General features: G+C 37.3%; 1 pseudogene across 1 annotated transcript in view, besides 1 other annotated feature; it reads left to right on the top strand.

Moving 5' to 3' along the window:
- LOC101930420 (DNA primase large subunit-like) overlaps window positions 1-25019 on the top strand; it is a 139540-nt pseudogene extending 114521 nt beyond the window's left edge. The window contains exons 6-7 of the transcript NR_172933.1: window positions 11221-11289; window positions 24789-25019. The product of NR_172933.1 is annotated as a DNA primase large subunit-like (transcript). The remainder of the gene's footprint in view (window positions 1-11220; window positions 11290-24788) is intronic.
- Window positions 1-26309: part of a centromere (Linear centromere model derived predominantly from reads generated in PMID: 17803354. This region does not represent an actual centromere sequence, as long-range ordering of repeats and unmapped WGS contigs is not provided by the model. For details of model production, see http://arxiv.org/abs/1307.0035.) that runs on past both edges of the window.

The following is a 26309-nucleotide window of genomic DNA, read 5'->3' as shown; positions in this document are numbered from 1 at the left end:
TTTCTTGATCAGTTTTATAGAGTATACTCCCAGAGGCATCCCAGCTTCTTTTGAAGAAGTAAGCTTAAGGTACCCAGAAGGTTAAGTAAATTTATTTCATAAAGCAAGTAGTTTAGATTTTTAGACTGGGTAGCTTTAAGTCATTTCATTCTTCTTGGTGGTGTTTACCATCAATTTGCAATGTATTTCTTGTTAAAGTTTCTATCTCTGAATTTATATGATTATTTTTACTTCTTAATTCTTAAGTGACAGATTTTAACATTAGCTTCTGTTTTCAATAGCATATCCAGGAGATATGATACATCTTTTAATAAACAATCTAAAGTAATTATTAAATTAGTACATGATACATCTTTTAATAAGCATAATCTTCTAAAGTAATTATATAATCAGTATAAATATCTTTCATTATTTTCATAAAGATCATAGAGCATAGTGATTCTGAATTGGCTTGCTTTTATATTAGGCCAAAAAATAGAATACTCAAAGCACAGTAATAATTAGTAACTGAACCATGGAACTGAGGTTTGACAATACATTTCTCCGTATCTCTAAGCAGGCTTTACATGTGTCTTCTCGTTTGTCCTACCTTCCCCCTCATTATCTTTCCTCTCTTCTTCCTTCTCTTTCCTTCCCTCCTTGCTTTCTAAGTTTACTTAGTTGTTAATGTTCCCTAAGAGCTTAAATTCTTTAATCCAAAATGTTGGTATTAATGTGCACTAAGAAAATCAGTATTTTGGGTAGCAGTTTAAATTGCTTCTCAACAATCCTTTTATTGGTACCTAACTACAATAGAGTATGATAAGTGCTTTAATAATTAACTATTATAAAGTATGCTAAATGCTTTTATAAAAATATATTCAAAGTGCCAGAGGGGAAAGATCTTCTGTTGAAGAGGGAGCAGAAGAGAATGCTTCATATAAGAAGTGACATTTTAATTGGGTTTGAAAGTTGAGTAGGAGTTTCCCCTGTGCCTGATGTAAGGCAGATTAGGCAAAAGGAGCAGCATTCATTCAACATCAACAAATAATAATTGCGTGAGGATTGTATTCCATTTACTGTTCAAGACATTGGGAATATAATGATGACTAAAACTAGTGAGACTTCTACCTTCATGGAGCTGATATTCCAGTGGGGAGACAGACTGTATTAGTCTGTTTTCATGCTGCTGATAAAGACATGCCCAAGACTTGGTACTTTATAAGGAAAAAAAGGTTTAATGGACTCACAGTTCCATGTGGCATAGGAGCCCTCACAATCATGGTGGAAGGTGAGAGGCACGTCTTACATAGCAGCAGACAAGAGAGACAATGAGATCCAAGTGAAAGGGGTTTCCCCTACAAAACCATCATCAGATCTCGTGAGACTTACTCACTACCACGCGAACAGTATGGGGGAAACTGCCCACATGATTCAATTATCTCCCACCAGGTCCCTCCCATGACATGTGGGAATTATGGGAGCTACAGTTCAAGATGAGATTTGGGTGAGGATAGAGCCAAACCATATATCGCAGATAAACAAGTAAGTGTAGTGAAATAAAACTATGGCAGGATAAGAGAGAAGAATGAGACTTGTGGAGGTGACTCTATTAATTTAAATAAGGTTGTTTGGTGTGTTTTGAGGAACCCTAGTCCTGAGAGATCTATGAAAAATGGATTCTGGGGACAAATTAGTTTGAGAAACGTTACCCTATTAAGTTCTGCCGTGAAGAAACTTAGGTAATTGTGGATTAAAGCCAGTTAAACAAGTTATTAGACAAGAAAACCCCCGATCATCACTAGGATTTTGTGAGCTAAAGTTCCAAAGAGCACATTGCAGGAGAAGCTGGACCAGAGTATGAGGATCCAGTGGCCAGGTAGGACAGGGTAGGAGCCTTTGAATCATGATGAAAAGTTTGTGCCCCAGCCATGCCAGGATTAGATTTGGCCTTTAGAAAAGGTACTCTTGTGGCAATGTGGCAGCTATCTTGAGTGAAGAAAGTATAAATCAAGAAGCTTTCCAATAAAAAAGAGAATGATAAAGACTTCAAAAATGGAGAGAAAAGGGTAGATTTTAATGACATTTGGAGGTAGAATTGACTCAGATAACTTTGTTTATAGATAATAAAGAGTCAGAAAAATTCTTGACATATAATGTTTTAAAGAAATGAAAGTACATCTTCAAGAGAGGGAAACTTGGCCCTGATCTGCCAGTAAGTGAAGGTCACAGCAAGGCAGCAGCAGGCTAAGCTGTGCTGAGTGTGTGAGAAATGGGAGCAAAGTCGTATGTTCAAAAATGTGCAAGACTTGGCATCTCCACCACATTTTTCTTTCACCTTTGAAATATGGGAAGGTTAGAAATGGAGTGGAAAAATATCAGCCCAGTCTAGTTTTGAAAGATTGAGTTTTTTAGGAAGAAGCAAGCTTGTTATCACTTTCAAATAAGACAAAACTTGACCTTGAATTAGATTAGCCACATATCTAATTGGTGAGTGCAGCGTACCTAGCTGTACAGCGCTCTGCTCACCAAAGCCAAAGATGGGCAGGTGGCTGCATTCTGCTGCCAGGTAATCATCTGAACCTCGTTGGCAGGCATTGAAGCAAAAGAGAGAGAGGAATTTGCAGCTGGCTAGAAATATTAAGAGAATTAGCAAGAGGGAGGAAGTGTGGCTCAAAGTTATAAAATGTTGTGTGTGTATAAAAAGAGGAGAGTTCTATTTTTGTATATGTGTGTGTTATAAATAGACATACCTATAGCATTTCCCACCAGTGTTCTGTATCATCTATGTTCCATCACTGATTAAATCAGAAAAATATCACCTTATTTGCTTTTTGCTCCTCAACTGCAAAGATGTCTTTGGTGAGGTGCTTTACTAGAATTCTCTTACAGAAAAAAAAAATCAGTAATTCATCTTGAGGATGAAATAGTAGATGAAGTATAATTAATGCTTTTAGCAAACTTAGCAAATACAAATATGAACTTTTTGTGAAGATGAAAACTGCATTGCTTTTTTTTTTTTTTTTTTTTTTAAGACAGTGTCTCATTCTGTCACCCAGGCTGGAGTGCAGTGGCATGGTCAGGACTCACTGCAGCCTCGACCTCCCCTACTCAAGCGAAGCTCCCGCCTCAACACCCCAAGTAGCAGGGACTACAGGCATGTGCCACCATGCCTGGCTAATTTTTCATATTTTTATTAGAGACAGGGTTTCTCCGTGTTGCCTAGGCTGGTCTTGAACTCCTGGACTTAAGCAATCCACCTGCCCTGGCCTCCCAAAGTGCTGGGATTACAGGTGTGAGCCACCACACTCAGCCTATTTTTAAAATCCGTAATATTCTTACTGGTGGACTTTATTCAACTGATAGAGAATAGTTAAAAATAAAGAGAGGCCAGGCATGGTGGCTCACACCTCTAATCCTAGCACTTTTGGAGACCGAGGCTGGTAGGTTGCTTGAGGCCAGGAGTTTAAGAACAGTCTGGCCAACATGGCAAAACCCCATCTCTATTAAAAATTCAAAAATTAGCTGGGTGTTATGGTGTGCATCTCTAATCCTGGCTACTTGAGAGCTGAGGCAGGAGAATCACTTGAACCCGGGAGGTGGAGGTTGTAGTGAGCCGAGATTGCACCACTGCCCTCTAGCCTGGGTGACAGAGTGAGACTCTGTCTCCAGAAAAAAAAAAAAAAAAAAAAAAAGTTTAAAAATATATAGAGTTTAAAAATACGAATTACCAAAATATGGTAGTTTGATGTCACTACTACTCACTTTTTCTTTCTTTCTTTTTTTTCTTTTCACATTCAGGGACCTCATTATCTTTATTATGTAATTTTACAATAAATTATGGTTCTATTGTACTTAAGCATTTATACAAACATTAGCTCCCTTAATCATCATAGTTGTAAATGGGACAAATCTTTTTTTTTTTTTTTTTTGTGGTTTTTTTTTTTTTTTTAATACTTTAAGTTTTAGGGTACATGTGCACATTGTGCAGGTTAGTTACATATGTATACATGTGCCATGCTGGTGCGCTGCACCCACTAACTCGTCATCTAGCATTAGGTATATCTCCCAATGCTATCCCTCCCCCCTCCTCCCACCCCACCACAGTCCCCAGAGTGTGATATTCCCCTTCCTGTGCCCATGTGATCTCATTGTTCAGTTCCCACCTATGAGTGAGAATATGCAGTGTTTGGTTTTTTGTTCTTGCGATAGTTTACTGAGAATGATGGTTTCCAATTTCATCCATGTCCCTACAAAGGACATGAACTCATCATTTTTTATGGCTGCATAGTATTCCATGGTGTATATGTGAGACATTTTCTTAATCCAGTCTATCATTGTTGGACATTTGGGTTGGTTCCAAGTCTTTGCTATTGTGAATAATGCCGCAATAAACATACGTGTGCATGTGTCTTTATAGCAGCATGATTTATAGTCATTTGGGTATATACCCAGTAATGGGATGGCTGGATCAAATGGTATTTCTAGTTCTAGATCCCTGAGGAATCGCCACACTGACTTCCACAATGGTTGAACTAGTTTACAGTCCCACCAACAGTGTAAGAGTGTTCCTATTTCTCCACATCCTCTCCAGCACCTGTTGTTTCCTGACTTTTTAATGATTGCCATTCTAACTGGTGTGAGATGATATCTCATAGTGGTTTTGATTTGCATTTCTCTGATGGCCAGTGATGATGAGCATTTTTTCATGTATTTTTTGGCTGCATAAATGTCTTCTTTTGAGAAGTGTCTGTTCATGTCCTTCGCCCACTTTTTGATGGGGTTGTTTGTTTTTTTCTTGTAAATTTGTTTGAGTTCATTGTAGATTCTGGATATTAGCCCTTTGTCAGATGAGTAGGTTGCAAAAATTTTCTCCCATGTTTTAGGTTGCCTGTTCACTCTGATGGTAGATTCTTTTGCTGTGCAGAAGCTCTTTAGTTTAATTAGATCCCATTTGTCAATTTTGTCTTTTGTTGCCATTGCTTTTGGTGTTTTGGACATGAAGTCCTTGCCCACGCCTATGTCCTGAATGGTAATGCCTAGGTTTTCTTCTAGGATTTTTATGGTTTTAGGTCTAACGTTTAAATCTTTAATCCATCTTGAATTGATTTTTGTATAAGGTGTAAGGAAGGGATCCAGTTTCAGCTTTCTACATATGGCTAGCCAGTTTTCCCAGCACCATTTATTAAATAGGGAATCCTTTCCCCATTGCTTGTTTTTCTCAGGTTTGTCAAAGATCAGATAATTGTAGGTATGCGGCGTTATTTCTGAGGGCTCTCCAATCAATAGAAAAAGAGGGAATCCTCCCTAACTCATTTTATGAGGCCAGCATCATTCTGATACCAAAGCTGGGCAGAGACACAACCAAAAAAGAGAATTTTAGACACATTACCTTGATGAACATTGATGCAAAAATCCTCAATAAAATACTGGCAAACCGAATCCAGCAGCACATCAAAAAGCTTATCCACCATGATCAAGTGGGCTTCATCCCTGGGATGCAAGGCTGGTTCAATATATGCAAATCAATAAATGTAATCCAGCATATAAACAGAGCCAAAGACAAAAACCACATGATTATCTCAATAGATGCAGAAAAAGCCTTTGACAAAATTCAACAACCCTTCATGCTAAAAACTCTCAAGAAATTAGGTATTGATGGGACGTATTTCAAAATCATAAGAGCTATCTATGACAAACCCACAGCCAATATCATACTGAATGGGCAAAAACTGGAAGCATTCCCTTTGAAAACTGGCACAAGACAGGGATGCCCTCTCTCACCACTCCTATTCCACACAGTGTTGGTAGTTCTGGCCGGGGCAATCAGGCAGGAGAAGGAAATAAAGGGTATTCAGTTAGGAAAAGAGGAAGTCAAATTGTCCCTGTTTGCAGACGACATGATTGTTTATCTAGAAAACCCCACTGTCTCAGCCCAAAATCTCCTTAAGCTGATAAGCAACTTCAGCAAAGTCTCAGGATACAAAATCAATGTACAAAAATCACAAGCATTCTTATACACCAACAACAGACAAACAGAGAGCCAAATCATGAGTGAACTCCCATTCACAATTGCTTCAAAGAGAATAAAATACCTAGGAATCCAACTTACAAGGGATGTGAAGGACCTCTTCAAGGAGAACTACAAACCACTGCTCAAGGAAATAAAAGAGGATACAAACAAATGGAAGAACATTCCATGCTCGTGGGTAGGAAGAATCAATATCGTGAAAATGGCCATACTGCCCAAGGTAATTTACAGATTCAATGCCATCCCCATCAAGCTACCAATGACTTTCTTCACAGAATTGGAAAAAACTACTTTAAAGTTCATATGGAACCAAAAAAGAGCCCGCATCACCAAGTCAATCCTAAGCCAAAAGAACAAAGCTGGAGGCATCACACTACCTGACTTCAAACTATACTACAAGGCTACAGTAACCAAAACAGCATGGTACTGGTAGCAAAACAGAGATATAGATCAATGGAACTCACTTTTTCTTTCTTTGTTTTGTTTTTTTCTGAGACAGTCTTGCTCTGTCACTCAGGCTGGAGTGTAGTGTTGCAATCTTGGCTCACTGTAACCTCCACATCCTGGGTTCAAGCGATTCTCCTGCCTCAGCCTCCTGAGTAGCTGGGATTACAGACACGCACCACCACACCCAGCTAATTTTTGCATTTTTAGTAGACATGGGGTTTCCCCATGTTGGCCAGGCTGGTCTTGAACTCCTGACCTCATGATCCACCTGCCTTGGACTCCCAAAGTGCTGGGATTACAGGCGTGAGCCACCGTGCCCATCCACTACTCACTTTTTCTTAGCCTTTTGATTACTGATGAACTGGATTAGAACAGTAAGTGGATTGTTACACTTGACATTTTGTACTTTATCTGGAAATACTGGCATTAAAAACTAAGTCATATTGCCATTTGTATAATATTCTTAGATCTTTATATGAGTTTTTTCTTCAAATAAAAATTGTGTTTTTAAATGTCTTTGATATGATTGTTCAAATTGTTTGATATTTTTCTAAAACAGATTTAGGAAACTTCTGGCCCCACCATCAGAATGGACCCTTGATTTGGTTTCCTCTGACCTTTGGAAAACTGTTCTTTGGTATTATTGCAATATGCAAGAGGACCTCATAAGGTGCTCTGGTTCTTTCAGAATGGAACATGAAAACTGGAGAGTTACTGTCAATGCTCATTGAAACATCTTTTGTGAGCTGTGGGTTAGACTTTGATGCTTGCAAACCACATAAATAGCAAGCCATGGACTCCATTTACTTATCCCATTTCTCTGGCTTTCCACATTTTTCTTCCTATTCTTGTTTTTTGTCTCTTCATTATATTTCTTCCTCTTGATGGGTTTCCACCTCTATGTAGTATGTGTTTTCCTGACCTATTCTATTTCTGACCCTCACTCTGGGCAGTCCTGGCCTGCCATCTTGGGAAGCTATCTTTTTAGGAGCCAAGACCAGCTTGTGAGGATGGAGGTCTGGGCTTTCAGAAGCTATGCTGCAGAAACAAACACAGGCAAAAAGTACTCTTGCCTAACAACACCTTCATTACTTTGTGGAGTATTTCAGTTTTTTAATACGTTTTTTAAAATTTTTATTTTAGATTCAGGGGGGCACATGTGCAGGTTTATTATATGGGTATATTGCATGATGCTGAGGCTTGGGCTTCTAATGATCCCATTGCCCAAGTAGTGAACATAGTACCTGATAGGTAGTTTTTCAACTCTTGTCTCCCTCCCCCCAGTTTTAGAATCCCCAGTGTTTATTGTTGCCTTTTTTGTGTCCATGTATAACCAATGTTTAGCTCCCACTTTAAGTGAGAACATGTGGTATTTGATTTTCTTTCTGCATTAATTTGCTTAGGATAATGGCCTTCAGCTGCATCTGTGTTGCCATAAAGGACATGATTTTGTTCTTTTTTTGTGGCTGCATAGTACTCCATGGTGTATAAGTATCTTGTGGAAATTTGACCCTAAGTTCTGTTTCACGCAGTGTACCTTAGGCATCTGTTCTTGGATTTTGGTGTTTGCCAGGTTTTTAATTTTGATCCTATATCATAAGTTGAATTTTAGTGTCTTGGTCATACCTTAATGCTTCATTTCCTTCACCTGATTTTTAGTTTGTATTTCCTGCCTTGGAGTCATCAAACCCCCTCAGCAAGTTATATTAGTATCAACATCAAAATAGAGTGACCTGCAGAATATCTTAATACAGTGCTTAGTGGTGATGTTCATATTGGAAAAATTTAACAAAACAAAGTGCAGAAGAAGTCTCAGGTTGCAGTCCATATACAAATTCTAGAACATCAGAATCACTTGGGAAGATTTTGACGTCAGCAAAGTGTGCATCTAAGAAGTCCTAACTCTAAGAGACAAGAGGTATCATACTCCTGTTTCTACACAGAAAATATCTGTTTGTTAATCATATTGTTTAGTGGCTACTACGTGATATTTTGGGTATTTTACATTTATTTTATATGATAGGTTTGTTTTTCATATTGGCATTTTCCCGAGTTTTAGAACTAGTTATTTAGGAAATCAGTTGGCAGGGGAAGGGGTTGAGTGGTAGCTCATGCATTATTTTAAGACATTGGAGGACAGGTTCCTCTTGAGTGTTTTCATGGAGAACATCTGATTTTAGAAATATTTTATAGCCATTAAGTGGGAAATGCTCCTGTCTCCAAATCTGACCACTTACCATCGCCACTGATATTGCCACCGTGGTCCATGGATCTACCATCTATTCCCTGAATTCGTGTAATGAGCTCCCTGTTTCTACCTCTGTCCTTTCCAATCTGTTCCCAGCACAGCAGGCAAAAATGATCCCTCTGTAAATGTCAGTTCACTTTAGTCCTGCACATAGAATATTGTATTATCTCCCCATTTTACTCAGAGAAAAAGTCAAACTTCATTCCTTGGTCCATCTTTTCTTTTCCTATATCTCTGTAATATAGATCATAATCTGAAATGAAACTATATATTCATTAGTTGGATTTTTTGGAGTAATGTTTTATATTTTCTACCTTAATTTTAAAAGCATGTAAGTTATCTTCCTTTAAAAGAAAGATTATTAATTTGTATGTGATTTTTAAAATTCTTTCTGCGGTTAATGGCCCTCACCCTCAGGAGACAGATACTCCAATTTTAATATATTTCCTCATTTCTGAAGTGAAGATAAAAGTATCTACCAATAATACTTGTTTACCTCAAAAACCTCTATTGCCTTTTTTTCTCATCACACCTTTACTTATTTATAGAAACCTTCACTTATCTTAAATATGCTGGGACATGATTAAAGTTCTTTAAGCTATCCTGATCATAGTTGAATGACTTGTTTATAGATTTCAAGCAGATTTTAAATAAAAATTCATCCTAATAAAATAAAACAAAAATAAAAGTAAATTATTTTTGTTTAGGAAGAGCCCTCTCTGCGAGTTGGGTCAGGTCAGGGGAAGATTGTAGTGTGATTAATTTAAATTTAATTTTTTATGGACCCTAAAAATTGAACCTAAAATTTGCAATACATCTGTTTTTCTCACATTCTGTGGCTTTTATGTCAGTTTTCTTTAGTAAGTTTTTTACACGTGTGGATTACCCAAATAAATTTTTTATTAATATGATTTATTATTTCTTTATAGCACGTTTCCCAAACATATACATACTAGATTGTATGTATGTATGTATATCATGTTACATATTTACTTTTTATATGGTTGAGCTTTTTTATTTCTGTGAATCCATTTCCTCTTCAGGTAATTTATGGGATCATCTAAAGCTTAAATTTATGTTTGAAGTCTTTACTTCTCCAAAATTCTAACTCAGATATTAATATATGATTATAGATGTTTGTCAGTAATTATTTGCAAGTTTATCTCATCACAATTTGAAAATCTTTGTGAAGAGCATCAGACAACATGAACTCAGTGTTAGCGTTACTTGGAAAACTTGCAGAATAAATTTAAAAATGAAGAAAGTCTCATTTCAAACTGATTTTTCATATTTTGCTCTAATAATTCAAGAAAAGTAGACAGGCCAGATAGGCAGACTGGCAGAAACCTGGCCTCTGTGGTTGGCTGGAATTTACACAGGTCTTTCATATATGATTAAATAAAAGGTGACACGAAATTCAGAAATGTAATCTATAAGACAATCAGAGAAAAACAATTTTTGAAGCACATTCTTGTCAGTATTGTATAATGCCTGTCCTGTAACTGTAATTTTTTTTGTGTATCTGTCAAATGACATTAAGCTATACTCAATAATGAAGATAGCAAGAATTTGAGACCCCATGTTCATTTCTTTTTGTGACAGGAAGATCAGCCTTTTAAAAAATAAAAGAGGAATAGAAATTAACATTTCTCCAGAATTATGTTTCCATTCATTTGAGGTTATCTCTTAATTCCAGCATTTTACTGCATTTGATAAATAGGCCAAATATGTGTTTTATTTATTTGAGGGCTTGGGGGAAGCAATGAAACTTTACAAATTTCAACTGGCATTGCAGTCTGCTGATAAGGATGGGAGTTTGCACCGCTCTGAAGAGATTACATGAAGTAGAATTGGAAAGCAAATTGTATTTACGAAAGATAGGATGATGTTCCTAATAGGTGTTCAGAATAGGCTATTCACTCTCATATTCTGCTGAGCTTTGCTAGAAATAACTTCATTTCAAAAAGGACAAATCTGACTGAAGGTAAAAGCATTCCCTCTTCACAGATACTTGTCCAAAAGGGTTTACATTAAATTTTCCTGATGGGCACACAGCAGTATTTTATGCTGTATCTGTATAAACCATTAATGTGGAAAATACATATCTAAATAGTACACTTGATTGCTTCATGCACCAACCATTAGATTACTAGATTTCTATCTACAGTTTTCGGAGAGATGTTGCAATATGATGTTCTGACAATAACTGTCAAAGTCATCATACCAGGATCCATTTTCATCTTGTTGTTGAGGTAAAGTTATTAAAATGTACAGTTGGTAGGCCAGAAAGATCACTATCTCTTGTCATCTGTGGTTTAATGCTGACCTAAACCACTACTGTATAATGTCAGAATTATCACAGTGTCCAGGCTGCAGAAGTACAACATGCTACATGATTTATTGCATTTCCTGTCTGGAATGAAGATTATGAAAAGGCCAACAGCTGTGAGCTACAGTGGTTTAGAAGAAAACTTAATTTCTAATTTTTATTTGTCTTTTTCCTCATTCATTTTAGATTTTGGATTTAGTAAAGGGGACACATTACCAGGTAGCCTGTCAAAAATACTTTGAGATGATACACAATGTAAGTATTTTTTTAACTTTATATCCTAATTATTTGTCTTTTGTTACTGTGTCACATTCAGGGTTTTTAGTTGCAGCAATGGAAACCACTCTAGCTATTTTCAGCAGAAAAGGGGATTGCATGGTATTAAGTAACCTACAGCATTTATTGAATGACCAGACAAACTAAGCTTGGATGCTGCAGAACCAGGAATATTTTGTAACTAGGAGAAGCTACATCATGAGAAAATCTTTACTACAGCTGTCACCCACCACTCCATATCTAGGGATGAGACCAAGGGTCAATAAAGTTTTTCTGTAAAGAGCCAGAGTGTAAAAATTGTAGGCTTCATGGTCCATATGGTCTGCGTCACAGCTACTCAACTCTACTGTTGTAGTGCAAAAGCAGCTGTAGAAAATATGCAAATGACAGGTATGACTGTTGATCCAATAGAACTCTATTGATAAAATTAGGTAGTAGACCCAGTTTGACCCACGGGCCTTGATTTGCCAACCTCTAGACTAGATCTAGAATCTTTGCCACAGCTGCCTAGAAGAACCAAGGCTTTTGCCATCTTCCATGCAGAAAATCTGATCCTTGTACTTGTGGCTGCCACCTGATCTAACTGTAATCCACTTCCCAAGTCTCATACTTATCTGCATGGCAAAACCTAGATTGCATGTGGACCCCTAACTGTACACGAGTCAGGGAAATGTGTTTGGTTTTTATCTTGCCAGCTTCCTTAGTACAAAAAAGCCTGCTTGATTATTAGAGTAAGAGTGGAAAGACCCAGTCTGGCACAGAATGGATTTTGAAGTGTGTAAAGCCAATGTCACAAACTCAGAGGCCTACAGAGATTGGGCATATAGCCCAAAAAAGTGAAGCTGCCTGAGATTAGTACCACAGAGTATGGCAGAATTATGGTGCACTAAACATGTTTGCCCTATTAGAGGCATTCACATTGACAAATTGTGAGGCCCTCTGCAGGCCAACAAAACACATCTCCAAGTCCAATTCAATCCTCTGGACCCTAGTTTGCATCCACTGATCCTGAGCCTGAATTTCTAACCTGGGAAAGACATCCAAGAACAGACTTTGGAGATCCTTGTACTTCTTGAAACATTTTGTCTCTAAGTACATATGTGTATTTTTCCAGAGTCCATGTTACTTATTAAAGATCCATGCCCTCTCAAAAAGGAAGTTGCATTTGTTGAAATCATCATCAGCTACCATGCTAAAGTTTTACAATTATTTTTATGTTTTTTATTTGGTTGTTACAAAGTAGTTTTTCTATTATGGTTATATAATTGCAGAATTTCTTACTTGATAAAATATCTCATAGGAAAAAGATATTTTATAATATTACCAATAATAATTAAAATAATAATAGTAATACCAGCCAATATCTATGGAACCCTTAATGCAGCAGTCCCCAACCTTTTTGGCACCAGGGACCAGTTTCATGGAAGACAATTTTTCCATGGTTAAACAGGGGCTGGTGGGAGGGCACATTAGATAATCATGAGAAGCACGCAACCTAGATCCCTTGCATGTGGGGTTCACAATAGGGTTCACACCCCCATGAGAATCTAAGGCCACTGCTGATCTGACAGGAGGTGGAACTCAGGCAGTGATGCAAGTGATGGGGAGTGGCTGTAAATACAGATGAAGCTCCACTCACTCACCCACTGCTCACCTCCTGCTGTGAGGCCCAATTCCTAACAGGCCACGGACTGGGTTGGGAACCCCTGCCTTAATGTATACCAGGCACAGCACTAAAATTTTTGAACGCATTAGCTCTTTTGATTGACATTACAGAAAGATACTATATGTATATTTCCCTGTCTATGAATAAAACTTAGAGAAGTTAAACAATCTGTGTGGGGTTACACTACTTATAGGGGATAGAACTTAGATTTAAATTCAAGCTGTCTAACTCATCTAAAGCTTGTGAGCATAACTATGACTGTACTGTCCTATGATATTTGGTACTAAATATGTGATAATGACAGCAGAGGTAATTGGCATTTTCCTGTTTATCTTCATAGCATGGTAAACAGGTAGGGACTCTAACTTGCCTTACATGCTGTAATTGATTAATGGAAGATCTGGAGCTAGAGCCCCAGTCTGTTGTGGGTCCTGTCCTCATTCTTCTATACCTAACTTTTGAAAGTATTATTCTTATTTAAAAGCTTTTTTTAAAACAAAACTCAAGGAGTAAACATCAAGAAAATAGCAACAACAAAATCTCATTAGTTTTATCACACTAGGAATCTCGCCAGATAAGCCATGTTTGGCAACACCAGGTTTATATGAGTCACTCTCTCGGAGACTGCATTCTTTAATTTGGTTGCTCCGCTTGAGAGTTTTAATTTCCTATTGTTCTTTAATCATTTGTGGATGCTTTTAATTAAGAGGCCTCAGAATTTTCACAAGTGAAGTCTATTATCCAACCTCTTTTTATAAAAATAAGATATGAAAATTAGATTTAAACATTGAGTTTGTGGCATAATCACCAAAAAGTAAGGAGTGGTTTTTATTTCTCAAATCTGCTTTTGTAATATCTCTCCTATTGATTATTCCCTCAAGTATTGCCACTATTGCCAATTTTTAAAACTTGTTTTAGATTAATGAAGATTTTGGAAAGACATATATCTAAATCCCCTCACATATAAAAATAGTCAACTTAAACCACACTTAAATCAACAAAATAAAAAGGCTGTTTGTATTCACTAGATCTCTCACTGTGGACTTTTAGATGTGAATATCCTCCTTCATTTATATTTTTTCTAATTTAATTTAAAAATAGAATCTATTTTTATTGTCAGGTTTCTGCCATCCTACCCCTCCCCCAAATAAAATCCTATGTTTATTTTCCCGAGGCCTCTGTGATCAAACTTACTTAAATGGAAGTTTTGAAAATAAACCAGTTAATTGATACCATTTGCAGCAGCACTATGATAGTTCCATATGGCTTTTTTGGTAATACCAGCTGCCTCATTATAAGCTGTCATTGCAAAACCTCTTGATTAAAACCCAAATATCCCATAGGTAAAACAATATTGCTTTCATTCCTTCAAACTCTACATTTGCAGTGGCAGAAATATGAGACCCATGTTTGTGTGAAGGTCATTGTGCGCAGAATGTGCTGATTCCAAACAAATGTTTAAGAGAGATTCATTTAGTAGATGTTAAAAGCTGGCCTGCTTGAAACCTGTTTTCCTCTGTATTTTTAGGATCAATGTTTAAAATAATTTTATACTAATAGTATATTCTTTCTGCATGTTCCATGTATAAATGAAAACACTAGGTCATGTGTAGATTAACCACAGAATTTTAATAGAAAATAATGTTTTCAGAGGTAGACCTCTTTGGACACTGAGTAACTGTGGGTACTATTTTCCAAATGGCTGAGCATAATTTTTCCCCACCATATAAATCTCTAGAGAAATCTTATTAAAACCTATCACACATTTTCCTGCAATCTTAAACAGGATATATGTGATACAATTAAGCCCTTTTATAATAACTCAGGGTCATCATTATGGATATCAGTTAGAATGCTGGGCTAGAAGCCACCATCATCTCACTTGGATCACTGCAATAGCTTGTTAACTCGTTTCCCAGCATCTACACATGCCCCATTCCAATTCTTTCTCCTCCACACAGCTGCTGGAGTGACCTTTAAAATAGAGGAATCTGATCATTTCAGGAACCTGCTTTTTAAAACCTTCAGTGGCTTCCTATTTCTCTTAAGATGAAATCTAAAATTTATAATGTATCTTCTAAAGGCCTCCACTCCACCCACCTTCCTCTAGACTCCTAAATTTGCTTCAGATCCTTTACAGGTCTTTGGACCTGAAACACTAGGACCAAGCTAGTGTGGTAGAATGCAAATGCTTCGCAGAATTTTCCCATCTCAATACATAAAATAATGCACAAAACATAATTTTTGAAATCATCAACCACAAAGAAAAACATCAGCAATAGTAACCAAAAAAGAAAACAGGCAAGGAAAGAAACAAAAGAGTCACAGTAGACAAAGTCATGAAAATGCTCACTTAATATTTCCAAACAGAGTAAAGGAAATAGCTGCTGACCTGAGAAGAAATAAGTGAAATGGAGGATTTAGATGTGGATACCTCTATTTCTCTATTCCTTTTCCTAATTTAATTTTAAAGTGAAGATTTCCATTCTCTTTAGTTTATGCTCTTCCCCTTCCCCCCACATACAAAAAAACCCCCTAAGTTTATTTCCCTAAACAATACAAAAGGAAACAGCCATGTACACTTCCTTTAAAAATGAAAGTGAAAGAAGCAGAACACAAAGAACTCATCCTAGAAGAAAATAGAATTCTATAAAAAGGAAACTTCATAATTTCATTTTGCTATCAAGCAACTTAGTAGATCACAAAGAGCATCAAAAATGAGTTAAGGACAATTGCAGATCAAGAAAAAGGAGAAACAGCATCACAGAGCCATGGCACAAATCCTCACTTCAAGGCCCTTGGCACTGTTTTAGTGGTTAATAAAAAAAGATTAATTATCTCTGAAAAAAAAGGCAGCAGCCCCAGTCAGGGGCTTACAGATAAAATCCCCATCTCCCTGGGATGGAGCACATGGGAGAAGGGGCAGCTGTGGGTGCAGCTTCAGCAGACTTAAACGTTCCTGACTGCCAGCTCTAAAGAGACCAGCAGATCTCCCAGCATAGCATTCGAGCTCTGTTAAGGGACTGCCTCCTCAAGTGGGTCCCTGACCACCATGTCTCCTGACTGAGAGACACCTCCCAGCAGGGGCCGACAGACACCTCATACAGGAGAGCTCCGGCTGGCATCTGGTGGGTGCCCCTCTGGGACGAAGCTTCCAGAGGAAGGAACAGGGTGCAATCTTTGCTGTTCTGCAGCCTCCACTGGTGATACACAGGCAAACAGGGTCTGGAGTGGACCTCCAACAAACTCCAGCAGACCTGCAGCAGAGGGGTCTAACTGTCAGAAGGAAAATTAACAAACAGAAAGGAATACCTTCAACATCAATAAAAAGGACATCTATTCAGAAACCCCATGCAAAGTTCACCAACATCAAAGACCAAAGGTAGATAAATCCACAAAGACTGGGAGAAACCAGCGCAAAAAGGCTGAAAATTCCAAAAACCAGAATATCTCTTCTCCTCCAAAGGGTCACAACTCCTCACCAGCAAGGGAATAAAACTGGATGGAGAATGAGTTTGACAAATTGCCAGAAGTAGGCTTCAGAAGGTGGGTAATAACAACTTCCTCCGAGCTAAAGGAGCATGTTCTAACCCAATGCAAGGAAGCTAAGAAACCATTGAAAAAAAGTTAGAGGAAATGCTAACTAGAATAACTAGTTTAGAGAACATAAATGACCTGATGGAACTGAATAACACAGCAAGAGAACTTCATGAAGCATACACAAGTATCCACAGCTGAACTGATCAAGCAGAAGAACAGATATCAGAGATTGAAGATTAACTTAATGAAATAAAACAAGAGACAAGATTACAGAAAAAAGAATGAAAAGGAATGAACAAAGCCTCCAAGAAATATGGGACTATGTGAAAAGACCAAACCTATGTTTGATTGGTGTACCTGAAAGTGACCGGGAGAATGGAACCAAGTTGGAAAACACTTCAGGATATAATCCAGGAGAACTTCCCCAACCTAGCAAGACAGGCCAACATTCAAATTCAGGAAATGCAGAGAACACCACAAAGATACTCCTCGAGAAGAACAACCCCAAGACACATAATTGTCAGAATCACCAAGGTTAAAATGAAGGAAAAAATGTTAAGGGCAGCCAGAGAGAAAGGTCAGGTTACCCACAAAGGGAAACCCATCAGACTAACAGCGGATCTCTCTGCAGAAACCCTACAAGCCAGAATAGAGTGGGAGCCAATATACAACATTCTTAAAGAAAAGAATTTTCAACCCAGAATTTCATATGCAGCCAAACTAACCTTCATAAGCAAAGGAGAAATAAAATCCTTTACAGACAAGCAAATGCTGAGAGATTTTGTCACCACTAGGCCTGCCTTACAAGAGCTCCTAATGGAGGCACTAAACATGGAAAGGAACAACTGGTACCAGCAACTGCAATAACATATCACATTCTAAAGACTATCAACACTATAAAGAAATTGCATCAACCAACGAGCAAAATAACCAGCTAGCATCATAAGGACAGGGTCAGATTCACACATAACAATATTAACTTGAAATGTAAAGAGGCTAAATGCCCCAGTTAAAAGACACAGACTGGCAAATTGGATGAAGAGTCAAGACCCATCGGTGTGCTGTATTCAGGAAACCATCTCACAGGCAAAGACACACATAGGCTCAAAATAAAGGGATGGAGGAATATTTATTAAGCAAACAGAAAGCAAAAAAAAAAAAAAAAAAAAAAAAAAGCAGGGATTGCAATCCTAGTCTCTGATAAAACAGACTTAAAACCAACAAAGATCAAAAGAGAGAAGGGCATTACATAATGGTAAAGGGATCAATTCAAAAAGAAGAGCTAACTGTCCTAAATATATATACACCCAATACAGGAGTGCCCAGATTCATAAAGCGAGTTCTTAGAGACGTACAAAGAGTTGTAGACTCCTGCACAATAATAGTGGGAAACTTTAACACCCCACTGTCAATATTAGATCAACGAGACAGAAAATTAACAAGGATATTCTGGACTTCAACTCAGCTCTGGACCAAGTGGACCTAATAGACATCTACAGAACTCTCTACCCCAAATCAACAGAATATACATTCTTCTCAGCACCACATTGCACTTATTCTAAAATTGACCACATAATTAGAAGTAAAACACTCCTCAACATATGCAAAAGAATGGAAATCTTAACAAACAGTCTCTCAGACCACAGTGCAATCAAATTAGAACTCAAGATGAAGAAACTCACTCAAAACCGCACAACTACATGGGAACCGAACAGTCTGCTCCTGAATTACTACAGGGTAAATAATAAAATTAAGGCAGAAATAAATAAGTTCTTGAAACCATTGAGAACAAAGACACAACATACCAGAATCTCTGGGACATAGCTAAAGCAGTGTTTAGAGGGAAATTTATAGCCCTAAATGCCCACAAGACAAAGCAAGAAAGATCTAAAGTCAACACCCTAGCATCACAATTAAAAGAACTAGAGAAGCAAGAGCACACAAATTCAAAAGCTAGCAGATGGCAAGAAATAACTAAGATCTGAGCAGAACTGAAGGAGATAGAGACACAAAAAACCCTTCAAAAAATCAATGAATCCAGAAGCTGGTTTTTTGAAAAGATCAAAAAAGTAGACTGCTAGCCAGACTAACCAAGAAGAAAAGAGAAACGATTCAAATAGATGCAATAAAAAATGATAAAGGGGATATCACCACTGATCCCACAGAAATACAAACTACCATCAGAGAATACTGTAAACACCTCTACACAAATAAACTAGAAAGTTTAGAAGAAATGGATACATTTCTGGACACATACACCCTCCCAAGACTAAACCAGGAAGAAGTCAAATCCCTGAATAGACTAATAACAAGTTCTGAAATTGAGGCAGTAATAGCCTATCAACCAAAAAAAAAGCCCAGAACCAGACAGATTCACAGACAAATTCCACCAGAGGTACACAGCAGAGCTGGTACCATTCTTTCTGAAACTATTCTAAACAACAGAAAAAGAGGGAGTCCTCTCTAACTCATTTTATGAGGCCAGCATCATCCTGATTCCGAAACCTGGCAGAGACACAACAAAAAAAGAAAATTTCTGGCCAATATCCCTGGTGAACATCGATGCAAAAAATCCTCAATAAAATACTGGCAAACTGAATCCAGCAACACATCAAAAAGCTTATCTACCATGATCAAGTCAGCTTCATCCCTGGGATGCAAGGCTGGGTCAACATATGCAAATCAATAAACATAATCCAGTGCATAAACAGAACCAATGACAAAATCCACATGATTATCTCAATAGATGCAGAAAAGGCCTTCAACAAAATTCAACATCCCTTCATGCTAAAAACTCTCAATAAACTAGGTATTGATGGCACATATCTCAAAATAGTAAGAGCTATTTTTTGACAAACCCACAGCCAATATCATACTGAGTGGGCAAAACTGGAAGCATTCGCTTTGAAAACTGGCGCAAGACAAGGATGCCCTCTCTCACCACTCCTATTCAACACAAAATTGGAAGTTCTAGCCAGGGCAATCAGGCAAGAGAAAGAAATAAAGGGTATTCAAATAGGAAGAGAGGGAGTCAAATTGTCTCTGTTTGCAGATGACATGATTTTACATTTAGAAAACCCCGTTATCTCAGCCCAAAAACTTCACAAGCTGATCAGCAACTTCAGCAAAGTCTCAGGATACAAACTCTCTGTGCAAAATCACAAGCATTCCTATACACCTCTAATAGACAGAGACCCAAATCATGAGTGAACTTCCATTCACAACTGCTACAAAGAGAATAAAATACCTAGCAATACAACTTCCAAGGGATGTGAAGGACCTCTTGAAGGAGAACTACAAACCACTGCTCAAGGAAATAAGAGAGGACACAAACAAATGGGAAAACATTCCATGCTCATGGATAGGAAGAATCAATATCGTGAAAATGGCTGTAATGCACAAAGTAATTTACAGATTCAATGCTATCCCCATCAAGCTACCATTGACTTTCTACACAGAATTAGAAAAAACTACTTTAAATTTCATATGGAACCAAAAAAAAGCCCACATAGCCAAGACAATCCTAAGCAAAAAAAAAAAAAAAAAAAAAAAAAAAAAAAAAAACAACGCTAGAGGCATCACACTACCTGACTTCAAACTATACTACAAGGCTACAGTAACCACAACAGCATGGTACTGGTACCAAAACAGATATATAGACCAATGGAACAGAACAGAAGCCTCAGAAATAATGCCACAGATCTACAACCTTCTGATTGTTGACAAACCTGACAAAAACAATCAATGGGGAAAAGATTCTCTATTTAATAAATAGTTTTGAAAAAACTGGCTAGCCATATGCAGAAAACTGAAACTGGACCCCTTCCTTACACCTTATACAAAAATTAACTCAAGTTGGATTAAAGACTTAAACGTAAGACCTAAAACCATAAAAACCCTAGAAGAAAGCCTAGGCAAATCCAATCAGGACATAGGCATGGGCAAAGACTTCATGACTAAAACACCAAAAGCAACGGCAACAAAAGCCAAAATTGATAAATGAGATCTAATTAAACTAAAGAGCTTTTGCACAGCAAAAGAAACTATCATCAGAGTGAACAGGCAACCTACAGAATGGGAGAAAATTTTTGCAATCTATCCATCTGACAAAGGGCTAATATCCAGAACCTACAAGAACTTAAATTTACAAGAAACAAACAATCCCATCAAAAGGTGGGTGAAGGATATGAACAGACACTTTGCAAAAGAAGACATTTATGTGGCCAAGAAACATATGAAAAAATGCTCATCATCACTGGTCATCAGAGAAATGCAAATCAAAACTGCAATGAGATACCATCTCATGCCAGTTAGAATGACAATCCTTAAAAAGTCAGGAAACAACAGATGCTGGAGAGGATGTGGAGAAATAGGAATGCTTTTACACTGTTGGTGGGAGTGTAAATTAGTTCAACCATTGTGGAAGACAGTGTGGCGATTCCTCAAGGATCTAGAACCAGAAATATCATTTGACCCAGCAATCCCATTACTGGGTTGTACCCAAAGGATTATAAATCATGCTACTGTAAAGACACATGCACACGTATGTTTATTGTGGCATTGTTCACAATAGCAAAGACTTGGAACCAACCCAAATGCCCACCAATGATAGACTGGGTAAAGAATATGTGGCACATATACACCATGGAATACTATGCAGCCATTAAAAAGGATGAGTTCATGTCCTTTGCAGGGACATGGATGAAGCTGGAAACCATCATTCTCAGCAAACTAACACAAGAACAGAAACCAAACACTGCATGTTCTCACTCATAAGTGGGAGTTGAACAATGAGAACACATGGACACAGGGAGGGAAATGTCACACACCAGGGCCTGTTTGGGGGGGTGGGGCTGCTAGGGGAAGGATGGCATTAGTAGAAGTCCCTAATGTAGATAACAGGTTGGTGGGCACAGCAAACCACCATGGCATGTATATACCTATGTAACCTGCATGTTCTGCACATGGACTCCAGAACTTTAAGTATAATTTAAAAAATACTAATTAAAATGAGGATTCATTAACGATATGCACATACCTTAAATATATCTTAAAGTTAAGACATTTAAATGCCATTTATTAGTTAGGGCAGGGTCTTTTGAGTATCGTTTAGTGTTTGGAATTTGATTTTATCTTTCTTTTATAAACTATACCCATAATACAGCATCAGACGTTTCCAGTTTGGATTCCTTAAAGTAGAAAAGGAACTTGATATATGCAAAGCAATAGGATCTTTCTCCCTCTCCTTCTGTGACCTCCACCTTTTTTTTTAAGTGACTTGCTTTTCTTGACTCTTTAAAAACATTTTCTTTAGATTTCATAGAACAACTCTTTTTTTTACATTCATTTTTATTTACTTTTCCCATAGCAACCCTATGACCTAACACTGTTATCTCCATTTCATCAATGGAGAAACTCAGACTTTAAGAAGATGACCCTATTTTGTGCAATATATGAATTATAATTGATTCATTTGAAGTCTAATAAATGTATTGATAACTGACAACTTGAAGCGAGGTATAGAAAATGCCAAGATATTATTATAGCATAAGATACTAGGTTATTTTTGCATGAAATAATACAACTATGTTTTTATAATCCTTGTAGCCAAGTTTATCTCTAGAAATAAAATTTATAATGGAGATATCATTATCAGCATGATTTTGCATACAATCTCTTAAAACAGATTTCAGAGCAACTAATGATCTAGTCAGAAGGCCTGAATTTTAATTCAGACAAAACCAGTTACTAATTCTATGACCTTGAATAAACTATCTATTCTCCTTAGGCCTCTGTACATGGAGGAGATTGAATTTAATGGATTCCCCAAGGTCTTTCTAATCTCTGATTTTCTGCTTACAAACTATTTTACAAACTATAAGGCCTTCTGATTAAAATGTATTAGACAATAAACATACTTTTTGTGAAACACATTGCAAAATGCAAAATTTATATTGGATTTCTCAGTTTTTAATGAATTGGGTGAAAATTGAATGTAACAAAAAAGTTCATAATAAAAAAGTTCATAAATGATTCCATTGTTAATAAAAATTATAAATATAAAACATTTCAGAAACATTTTGAAATCAAGCAGCTAAGTTAAAAAAATAAAGCAAGATAAAAATTTGTTCTTAATGATCTATAACTCTTAAAATCAGTCTGTATACTATCCATCTGTTACAACCTGGAATTACTATAAAATTAGCCTAACATGTATTAACAACTAGCAAAAGAGAATCAGAGATTCCTAGGGTGCTTAAATAAGTATTACCAGAAAAGACTCATGTTTCTGTCTGTTGGTCCGTCCACCAGTAGGGTTCATTCTAGACCGCAGCAGCAACCCCTTTTTCCCTGACCAATTCATTTTAATCTACTATAAGATTATACATAGCTTTAATCACACCACGTCTCTTTTTAAGGGTTTTTGGTGACTCTGTTGCCTAGAGAATTAGGTCTTGACCACTTACCCTGATTTTCAAGGCTCTCTCAGGCTGGCCCCTGCCTGTCTTTCCAACCTCATTCCTTATTGTTTCCTTGTATGTGCCTTTCATAATAGGCTATGTGAACTATTTAATATTTGCTTTCCCAGGACATTCCCTCTTTACCTTGCTCATGTGGCCCTGCTGCAAATATTGCCTTTCCCCTCATCATCCCAGCTTTTCACTCCCTCCATCTTTCCAGACGCAACTCAAATAGCACTCCTCTTACAAAGCCTTCCTTGATCTCCTCAGTCGAAATTTCTCTCTACTGTGGAGTGTAATAGGCCTTTATCTGTGACCCTCATCAGTTCTCCATTCTTGGTAGAGGTTTTTAAGTATGTAACTTACTGGGCTGGAAATTTGAGTTAGTCAAATATATTCCTGTATGCTGAATAGCGAATAGTTTATAACACAGTCTTTTATATAGTAAGGCTTTAATTAAATATGCAAAATTATCACTGGTATACACTATTTCTGGGTTCACTTCACCAAATATTTATTAGATACCTACAATGTGCAAGTCACTTCAGTATGAAGGGTGAGACGTAAAAGGATTAGTTAATACAAGACAGATGAACAAAAGAAATGGAATCACTTCTCAGTTTCCAAAAACTTGATAAATGAAAATACCACCAAAGAAACCAACAGTCACTCACTCAAGCAAAATGATATTTTTGTTGTCAACTCCAACTGCAGAAGGTGAGAAGGCAGGGATTTGAGACTGTGGAAAGTGAAACTGAATATAAGGAGAGATTACTAGAGTGCATAATTTGAAATGATACTCAAAATTAAAGTTTAATGATAGTATTTGAGAAAAAATAAGTTATGAACCAGGCATGTTTGTATTCAGTCACAGTGAAATTTACAAGAAGAGATTTTCTGTAAAAAGACTAAGGAAAGGCCAAGATTAGAATGAAGAATTACATTGACTTAGGTTGCTTTTTCAGTTTATATCATACTAAAGGAGCGCACATGCCAGACTTACAAGTCAGCTCTAAAACACAAGTGGTATCAGGGACAAGTATCAAAATGATCAAAAATGATTTTACAATCACTTAAAAACCCACAAATATTTATTGGCCTACAATGTGGTAGGCCTTTTCTTGGAACTGGGGATACAATAGTGAATCACACAGGTCCCTAACCTGTGCCTCACTAACATACAATGTCATTCACACACACACACACACACACACACACACACACACACACACACACACACACACACACACACAGGTTTGTATTCCAAACACATTTTTATAGTTTTCTAATTTTTTGTTTTGATGTAATTGTCAACCAGAATTGGTAATGTTTTGGGTATTGCCAGAATTGAGGTCTTGGTGTAGATGGGAGGTGGCAGGTGGGAGTTGGGGGCTGGGGATGTGAGAGAAAGGTGTCTAGTATGCCCCAAGGATGAATGGTGATACCAGTCACTGAGAGCAAAGGATGGGGAAAGGGGAAAGAATATGTTTCCTGTTGGGTTTGAGCTGCTTTTGAGCCATCTTAGATGTTGAGTAGGTGTTGGATATGGGACTGAAACTAGACAGGGAACTGGAGCCAAACACAGAGGCTCAGACTAGAAATAAAAATGTGGGAGCCATTTAGGTTTGGGTAGTGGTTGAAGCTCTCTTTGAATGAAATGGTGTAAGTAGCTGATTAAGTGTTAGAATGCATACAGCTAGAATCCATGTTTCAGGTATTAAGTTTTAAACAAGTACTAAAACAGCTTTTGAAACTCATATATTTATAGCTTTGCCATGTATTAATGCAATATAAATTTCCTTCCTTTACAGGTGGATGATTGTGGCTTTTCTTTGAATCATCCTAATCAGTTCTTTTGTGAGAGCCAAAGTATTCTAAATGGTGGTAAAGACATAAAGAAGGAACCTATCCAACCAGAAACTCCTCAACCCAAACCAAGTGTCCAGAAAACCAAGGATGCATCATCTGCTCTGGCCTCTTTAAATTCCTCTCTGGAAATGGATATGGAAGGACTAGAAGATTACTTTAGTGAAGATTCTTAGGCAGTTTTCTAACCCATTTTCCTCAATAGCCTGTTTCCTGTTTTTAAGATTTTGCCTTTGTTGTTGAAAAAGGGTTTCACTCTGTCACCAAGGCTTAGTGCAGTGACACAATTACAGCTGATTGCAGCCTTGACCTTCCCAGCTCAGGTGATCCTGCTACCTCAGCCTCCCAAGTAGTTGGGACCACAGGTGTGTACCCCATATCCAACTAATTTTTTTCAATTTTTTTTTGTAGAGGTGAGGGTCTCCCTATGTTGCCCAGGCAGATCTCAGACTCCTGGACTCAAGCGATCCTCACACCTCAGCCTCCCAGAGTGCTGGGATTACAGTTGTGAGCCACTGTGCCTGGTCTTTCTTTTTTTAACCTTTTTGTTTAACTTCTCTCTTCATTGCATCCCAATCCATCTACAGGCATGCACACTTATTAGGAAAGCAGGTTTGAGGTAACAACAGAGACTTTCACTATATTTTACTTTGACAGAAGGAAAGAGGAAGAGTTTCTATTAAAATCTGTCATTTGAGTGATGTCATTTAAGTCCTATTTTAGGAGATAAAAACAGCTTTGGGGACTGGTTAAAGTCCCCCAGAAACTACAATAAAGAATAACTTTTGTTTTAACTCTTAATCACTTTGTAATTTTGACTCAATCCTTTTCTGGACCATTTTTGTTAATAAATGTCAAAGTGTACATGACAGTGTCTGCGTATAATTGGGAGAGTCTTATGTCATAACAGATTGGACATTACTTCAGTTTTAAAGTGGTAGTTTGAAGTATCCAACACATTGCTGATCACTAATGAATATTTTAAACTTTTCTTTACCTTTTTTTAAGAGTTGACCTATTTGTGGTTATTCTACATCAGGCACCAGACTCTCCTGAGTGAACTGTGACTTGGGAATTAAAATAAAGTATAGCCAGTTATATTTATTAAGGAATAATAGGGATATTTTATTATGTAAAATAATGACACGTCTTATCTGCTGCCATTACTCTGGGGACAGGTTCATGAAGAATAGACAATTAGCAAGCAAGAAAGTTGTACATATAAAATAAAGTGTTTATTTTACCCTCCAACTTCCATACCTTATTGCTTCTGTAGTTGCTGTGAATTACCAAATAGATTTGGTAAATTAATTAACTTCAGCAATGAATAGTGATACTTATAGTAACCCCCTCCTTTAAGTGCCAGCAATAGAATTTAATAAATGTTGTGGATGATTACAGACATACGAGATCAATGCCCTGTTCTCTCTGCCTGCTTTCGTCAAGGGAGTAAGGTGAAGTTGATG

This window comes from Homo sapiens, chromosome 3 (genome assembly GCF_000001405.40).
Source record: "Homo sapiens chromosome 3, GRCh38.p14 Primary Assembly".
Classification (NCBI taxonomy): Eukaryota; Metazoa; Chordata; class Mammalia; order Primates; family Hominidae; genus Homo; species Homo sapiens.
Note: the sequence above shows the minus strand (reverse complement) of the source record. Positions and strands in the feature narration are given on the sequence as shown.